Source organism: Homo sapiens, chromosome 5 (genome assembly GCF_000001405.40).
Source record: "Homo sapiens chromosome 5, GRCh38.p14 Primary Assembly".
NCBI lineage: Eukaryota > Metazoa > Chordata > Mammalia > Primates > Hominidae > Homo > Homo sapiens.
Window position 1 is genome coordinate 58,934,660 of NC_000005.10, and position 8,090 is coordinate 58,942,749.

The window sequence follows — 8,090 nt, forward strand, 5'->3', positions numbered from 1 at the left end:
TCACCAAGGGTAACTAATACTAAACAAGAGCAAATGGAGCCACAAATTAAAGGGCACGGGAAATGGAGGAAAATAAATGCTTTCAGCTGGAGTTTGAGAGAAACTGGAGCTGATGGTCAAATGAGTCAGAGAGAGAAAGAGGGAGAAAGCCAAATCCTAAGGGAAGTTACCAGACCAACAAGCCTGTCTACAAATGGACTGTTCACATTTAGGTATAAACGCAAAGTCATTTCAACCCATTCAGATCCTTTGATTTCGCCTTCCAAGAAGCCAACAATAATGACATCATTGTCCAAGGTAAAGTCCCTCAGGAGGCAGGAAGAAGAATCCCACCATTCACAGATACATGGTGCTTACCCCAAATATAACATGCTTGCCCATCTATTCAAGAAACACAGTTATTTGTGCCTCTTATGTCACCAGTGCTATCACTTTCTGCCATTAGATTCAAAGTATGCTTATTATTAAACACGTATAAATTTTCTACCATCTAGATTCCTGAGCCATCTTATTCCACTCCAAAATCACTGAATTTACCCACATCCCTGCCCATGATCAAATCCAAATCCCATTTCCATACTGTTGTTTTTTTTGGTTTCTGCCCAGATTTGTCATCCATAACACACTATTTTATTATCCAATCGACATGGAAATCCAGAATACGATTCCCTCTCTTTGTTCTTTCCTCCTCACCTCTCTAGCCACTTCTCTAGGGTCTTGACACAAAAGATGGTCAAGAAACACTGTGGAGTTGATTAAAAACTGTCATTTTGCTGATTCTTTTCCCATTAACTTTTAGCATCTTCCCCTAAATTTCCTTTCTTTCCTTTTTTTTTTTTTTTTTTTTTTTTTTTTTTTTTTTTTTTTTTTTTTTGAGATGGAGTTTCACTCTTGTTGCCCAGGCTGGAGTGAAATGGCATGATCTCAGCTCACTGCAACCTCCACCTCCCAAGTTCAAGCGATTCTCCTGCCTCAGCCTCCTGAGTAGCTGGAATTACAGGCATGCACCATCATGTCCGCCTAATTTTTTGTATTTTTAGTAGAGACGGGGTTTCTCCATGTTGGTCAGGCTGATCTCGAACCCCTGACCTCTGGTGATCCGCCCACCTCGGCCTCCCAAAGTGCTGGGATTATAGGCGTTAGCCACCGCGCCCGGCCATCTTCCCCTAAATTTCTTACTTTCTCTTAATAGAGCAAATCCTAAATATTATAGAACTCTCATGGTTTTAATTATCAACTCTATAATTGAGAATGGCAAATTAGTTTATCTAGCCTTGCATTTTTATCTGCCTCCAGTGTCTCCCAGCCCGAGGCACTTGCACTGAGCATCCTTTTTATAAGGTAAGCTAATATGCAAAATTCTGTAGCCCTCCTGCAACAGGAATGCATCACTCTTCTTCCAGTAGACTCTGGGACAATATTACATATTTTTTTTTTTTTTTTCTGAGATGGAGTCTTGTTCTGTTGCCCAGGCTGGAGTGCAGTGCCGAGATCTTGGCTCACTGCAAGCTCCGCCTCCCAGGTTCACGCCATTCTCCTGCCTCAGCCTCCCGAGCAGCTGAGACTACAGGCACCCGCTAATTTTTTGTATTTTAAGTAGAGACGGGGTTTCACCGTGTTGGCCAGGATGGTCTCGATATCCTGACCTCATGATCTGCCCGCCTCAGCCTCCCAAAGTGCTGGGATTATAGGCGTGAGCCACCGCTCCCGGCCTACATATCTTTTAAGCAAGAAGCAACAGAAGAAGTTATCAGATTACACCCGGCCAAATCTTGACAATTCTGCATGTAACACCAATCTCATCGTCCAGCCCTTTCCCCCATTTTCTCTTCTACTTCTGGCCTTAGTTGCTCTGTGGGTTAGACCCCTGCTGATCTTGCCTTTTATTTATTTATTTAGTTAGTTTTTTGAGACAGGGTCTCACACTCTGTCACCCAGGCTGGAGTGCAGTGGCGTGATCATGGCTCACTGCAGCCTTGATCTCCCTAGCTGGATAGATCCTCCTACCTCAGCCTCCTGAGTAGTTGATACTACAGGCAAGTGCCACCATGCCTGGATACTTTTTTAATTTTTTGAGAGATGAGTCTCACTATGTTGCCCTTGCTGGTCTCAAACTCCTGGGCTCAAGCAATCCTCCAGCCTCGGCCTCTCTAAGTGCTGGGATTACAGGCATAAGCTGCCTGACCTGATCTCACCCCTGACCACAGCATTAGTCTTCCTGCTTTGCTTTGAGTATCCTGCCTCCTCCAAATAACCTAAAATAGTTACTATCTGGTTCCTTACAGAAAACGTGTGCCTAGTATGAATGCACATGTGTTACCCGAAAGGGGTAAAACGGTGGGCCATTGGCAAGTACTCACAGTTTTAACACGAAGGAATCACATCGTAATGGAGTAGGGTACAGGAGGATGGCGTGCTCAGGCACTAGGGGGATGCCGGAGCAGGGCGTGCAGGCACTGGCTGTGATAGGCAGAGCCAAGATGATCCCCAGGTTCCCAGAAAAATGATTTGGTTGTGGGAGGCAGCAGCCATAGGGCAGCCCTTCTACTGGGGGCGGGGGCGGGGGCGGGAGCAGGGGAGGGGGAGGGGCGGGGGCGGGAGCAGGGGAAGGGGAGGGGCGGGGGCGGGCTTGCTTTCAGTGGCAGCTGCCATAAATAGGCAGCTAGGGCGCGCTCGCTTCAGCCCAATTGCTAACTACAAGTAGGGTAGTCTGTCCTCAGAGTGCTTGTAAATGCATGGCAGGACTGCTACTGGGCCACCTGGGTCCCTGTCAATGACTTGTGCTTCAGCCTTGGAGGCAGCAGCACCCCGCTTTCAGCAGAGGATGTCTGTGGGGCTCCAGGTATGCGGAGTTGCAGGGGTTGCTGGGCCTCAGGGCAGGATGTAGTCTGCTGGGGACTGGGCTCTCAAAATGGCGTCTTGCTGTGGCTGCTTAGGGCTCAGGGGATGTGTGGGACCTAGCGTGAGTTTCCCCCTGGAGCAATGCCATCTGTGATCTCCAGGACGCTCCCTATGTTAGTCACAGGGCTTGTGTGGGTCGAGGGGCTCTCGTAGGGCTGGGATTGCAGTAGTCCATGATGGGAATGCAGACCGCTGTGGGTAAGTCATTTACTCTTTCCTCACACTGGGGAGCCTCTCCAGGCTCCCAGCCAGTCCTGGCAGACTGTCTCTCTTACCGCTTGCGCTCCTTCCTCACCTCAGGTGTTTTCTGTCACTTCTCCGTTAAATCCAGTGTTCTCTTTTTGGTGGTGTATTAAACGTGTGATTATGCGCTGTTTCACTTCTTGATGGAGGAGGCAAGGACCAGATGCCTCTAGTTAGCCATCTTGGAGCCCCTCCAAGGCCCTACTTGTCAATATCATTACAACAGGGAATACGTTTTAATCTAAACTGTGGAGGAAGTGCATTCAAACCATAACATTGTACTTTACAAAATGAATAAATTAATTTGTGGGAAAATGGCCTTTTATCAGAGTTTGAGATGCGTCCTCTAGAGGAGTCTAGCACCGCTGGGAAATCAGTCCAGAGGCATTTCGACAGTTGGGATATGAAAAAAAGGAAAATTTCCTAAAGAAGATGTCGATTTCCAATGCATTTAAAAACAACCACAAGAAGAAGCCACTGATTAACAAAGTTATCTAACAATGGCAGTGAGGGAGAGCAACACCTTGACAGCGTTTTCATGGTGTCTCAGAAGGGGAAAGATTACGGACAGATGTTTATAGGATTTGTGGTCTTGCATCAAATGCTTTGAGGCAGCTCTCTGAAGGCCAGGATTTATGGGGCTTAGACAAAATTTATTATATAGCAGTTTAGGATTGATGGATACAGCCAAGGTGAGTGTCTTGAAGCTACCTGATTCAGTAAACAGTGGTTGCTTAAGCAAGCTGTTTCCCCAGGTGAGCAACCTGTTGTCTGAATAAATTGGTTTTCAGGAATTTCCGGAAGGAAACAGCAATTTATTGTTAGACAGAATTATTTTCCTGGGCTAGAATTTCCTGGAACAAATAGTCAATTCTTGTTGACGTTTAAGTGGTCTCAGTTTTCAGTATCGATGAGTTAACCCACAGGAGGAAGCGGGAGACTCATTTCTCGGTTCTCTGTGTGATCATTCTTCAGCTGTGATGGAGGATAGCCATTACCATGTGGGGACTTGATCCATCTGAATCTGCACTGTACTTTGTGGTGTGATCATGAATCAGGTTTCCTGGTAGGCAATTTTCCTGCTTTTTGTCGGATAGACATTTGGTTGGATGATTTGACAGTGCTATGGCTGCGCAGCAGCATTTTTAAGACTGAGTTCATGCATTTGAGCGCTGTAACACAGAGTGATGCTACAGTGAGGAGTCATGGTGAGACTTCTATGCCAGGAGCCAAGAGTGTCCAGATTAAAACAAGAGAACAGATCCCATCCCTAATTTGAAGAGCCAGAGTAGCCATACTCAGCGGAGGGGGATTAATATCCAAATTGCCTAATTTTAGGGTCTCTTTGTTTGCTGCACAATCTTACAAGATTAAGCCAGGGTCAGCAAGCAATTGCCAGCAGGCCAAATCTGCTCTCTTACCATCTGTTTTGTAAATAAAGTTTTATTGGAACATATGGCTATGCTCTGCTGACCCTAATGATATTTCTAATTTTTTTTAAGGTGTAAGCTGAAGTTATTAATTTGAGACCTTATTTCCATTTTTTTGTTTTTGTTTTTGTTTTTGTCTTTTTTAAGACGGAGTCTCACTTTGTCACCCAGGCTGGAGTGCAATGGCACAATCTCGGCTCACTGCAACCTGCACCTCCTGTGTTCAAGTGATTCTCCTGTCTCAGCCTCCCGAGTAGCTGGGATTATAGGTGTGCACCACCACGCCGGGCTAATTTTTGTGTTTTTAGTAGAGACAGGCTTTCACCATGTTGGCCAGGCTGGTCTTGAACTCCTGACCTCAAGTGATTCACCTCCCACTCGGCCTTCCAAAGTGCTGGGATTACAGGCATGAACCACCACACCTGGTCAAGACCTTGTATCCTAATATTAGACTTTCTCTATTTTTAAGCAATTTGTTGACCTTCTTGAATCTGTGGTTTTCATAAACTTTGGGAGATTTTTGGCCATTATTTTTTCAAATATTTTTTTCCAACATATCCCTCATTTCCTTCAGGGACTGCAATTTACGCATTAGTTTGAAGTTGTCCCATAACTCACTGACACACTTCTGTTTCTCATTTTGTGTACTTTTTATCTCTCAATTCTTAAAGTCACTAGTCTTCTGAAATTTCCAATTTGCCTTTAATTCTACTCAGTGTGTTTTTCATCTCACATAATGTTTTCATCTCTAAAGTTTGATTTTTAGTCTTTTTATATCTTCCATGTTTCTGCTTACCATGTTCAGTCTTTCCTCTGGCTTCTTGAACATGCGAAGTACAATTACAGTTCTTCTAATGTCTTTGCCGATTCTATCATCTTTGTCATTTCTGGGTTAGTTTCAAATGACTGATTTTTCTCTTCATTATGGGTCATATTTTTGTGGACAGTTTTTGGATCCTTTTGTATTTCTATAAATACTTTTGAACTTTGTTCTAGAACACACTTAAAATTACTTGCAAATAGTTTGACCCTTTATCTTAATTTTGTGCTTTGTTAGATGGTATTTCTATAAATATTCTTGAACTTTATTTTGAAACTCAGTTACTTATAAACAGTTTGATTCTTTTGGGTCTTATTTTGAGTTTCATTATGTGGTATCAGAGTAGTATTTAGTCTAAGTTCTATGTTACTGCATGACTGAAGCAAAAATTCTTCCAAGTATGCTACTCAATGCCCATTTCCTATAGAAACAGGAATGATTCTGAGCCCTGGATTCTATACCCCGTAATCATTCCAGCTGATTCTTTCCCCAGTCATGGGTAGTTTCCTCACATGCATATGCTGACTCATGCTCAGCTGAAGACCCTGTACAGATCCCCAGTGTTCTCTCTGCACAGCTGTCTCCTTTCCCATATCTTTCCTTGCAAACTCTACTCACTTTGCCCTCCCCAGACTCCACTTAGGGAGATGGCAGGGTTCCATCTGGGTTTTCCCTTTCTGTACCACAGTCTTGATACTCACTCCAGACAGTAAGCTGTGGCGAACATAAGATTCATCTTGTTTCTTGTTTCTCTTGGATCACTATTCTTCATTGCCTGATGTCTTGAAAAATCTTTTTATTTTTCAATATTGTGTCTGTTTTTTTTTCCACTGGTTTACTGGAGAGTAAATCTGGTCCCTGTTTCTTCATTTTGGCCAGAAGCAGAAATCTATTCATAGTATTTTTTCAAAAAGCTTCTCTGGTGGTTTTTATTCACACCCTCAATATACAACTGCTGCTATAAATTTTCTGTAAGATATTAGTAAGTGACCCAGAGCAAAGTTTATTCTATAAGAATGCCAGTTTGATGAGACCCGCTGATATTATTGTATCTTTGAGCCAGTTTGAGGACAAAATTGCCAGGTCTACGGCTGTCTTCTTCCCTGTGAGCTTCTTCTCATAGACTCACAACAAATAGGATAAAAGACAAAAAGAGTAATGTTACTAGTAATAAAACATTTCCACAAAGAATAAACATTTTCAAATCTGATCAGATAATCCAGGAATTTCTTAAAAGTTTCTTATTTCTAGGAAGAAAAATAAACAATTTAAGAGCTTTATGGAAAGGACACCGGGACTCAAATCCAATGAGAGACTTACCTTAACACTGCAGTGGGGGAGGCTTCCAAATGGCAAACTTCAGAAGAACACACTGTTTAGGGCTAAGGTTCTTAAACTGCAGGAGCAGAAATTATTGAGTGAATCCTACTGAGGCCCCAGAACTGTTGATTGCTGACTTTCAAAGAAGACCATCAGAATAAACTATTGATCAAACAAAGCTAAGTTTATTAACCTGCAGTAAGAGAGTGCAACACCTTGAAAAAGTCCTTATAATTCTCAAAAGGGAGAGGTCACAGGTAGATATTTATAAACATTAAGGGTCTGAGCTCAAGTGGTTTAAAGTCAGGCCTTTCAAGGAAGAAATCTGGTGGAAATTCGGCAAAGTTCATGATATTATAGTTTAGAATTGGTGGACATTGTGATAAGAGGGTCTTGAAGTCCTGAAAAATAGATCTTTGATAAACAAGTTATTAGACTTGGAGAGGAATCTGTTGTCCTGAAAAGGGGTTTATTTTTTCAAATGAGCAATCTATCATCTGAATAAATTGGTTTTCAGAAATTTTCTGAAGTAAACATTGATGTTATTTATTGTACACCGTCTTATCTTCCTGGACAAGAATTTTCTTGAACAAATAGTAAAGTCATAGTGACACAGATGGTTTGTTTTCCATACTGATAGTTAAGCTATGAGGATGCAGGTGGTCTCAGTTAGAGATAAGAATGGACCTATTGAAGAGGAAAGCCTACAGAACTGGGTATGATTAGACTTCATAGGGTCTGGTTATGATCTGACCAACAAACTAGCTGGAAGATTTGAACAAATGACATCACCTTTCTGAGCCTCACTGGACTTAACAGCTGGACTGACACTACCTGGGACACCACCACACAGAGCCCAGAGTGAACAGAGTGCAGCTCTTCACCCAGAGCTATGCCCCTCTACCCTTTGTATAATTCCTGGTTCATGGGACGGTAACAGATTTGAGGTCTGTCATACCTGGGCATCAGAATGAAAAGTTGCCTCCTGGTAGGTGAGTTGCCTCTATTGAATGTTGCTGCAGTCTGAATGTTTGTGTCTACCCAAAATTCATATTTTGAAATCCTAAACCCTAAGGTGATGGGGCTTTTTGATAGGTGATTAGGTCATGAGGGTTGAGTCCTCATGATCGGGATTAGTGTCCTTATAAATCAGGCACAGAAAGTGACCTTGCTGCTTTCACTGTGTAGGGATGGGACCACACCAGACAGTGAATCTGCTGGCAGCATGATCTCGGACTTCTCAGCCTCCAGAACTGTGAGAAATAAATGTTCGTTGTTTATAAACCACCCAGTTTATGGTATTTTTGTTAAAGCAGCCTAAATGAACTAAGACAAATGTTTATATAACTTGGGTTTTCCAAGGCCTCACCACATTG

General features: G+C 42.8%; 2 annotated features.

Annotated features, from left to right (window-relative positions):
- Positions 2,366-2,966: an enhancer, noted in NCBI's record as "H3K27ac-H3K4me1 hESC enhancer chr5:58232852-58233452 (GRCh37/hg19 assembly coordinates)". NCBI's record gives its function as "activates a minimal SCP1, AML or CMV promoter by ChIP-STARR-seq in primed H9 embryonic stem cells {active_cell/tissue: H9 hESC(primed)}" and the evidence as "EXISTENCE:reporter gene assay evidence [ECO:0000049][PMID:30033119]".
- Positions 2,967-3,565: an enhancer, noted in NCBI's record as "H3K27ac-H3K4me1 hESC enhancer chr5:58233453-58234051 (GRCh37/hg19 assembly coordinates)". NCBI's record gives its function as "activates a minimal SCP1, AML or CMV promoter by ChIP-STARR-seq in primed H9 embryonic stem cells {active_cell/tissue: H9 hESC(primed)}" and the evidence as "EXISTENCE:reporter gene assay evidence [ECO:0000049][PMID:30033119]".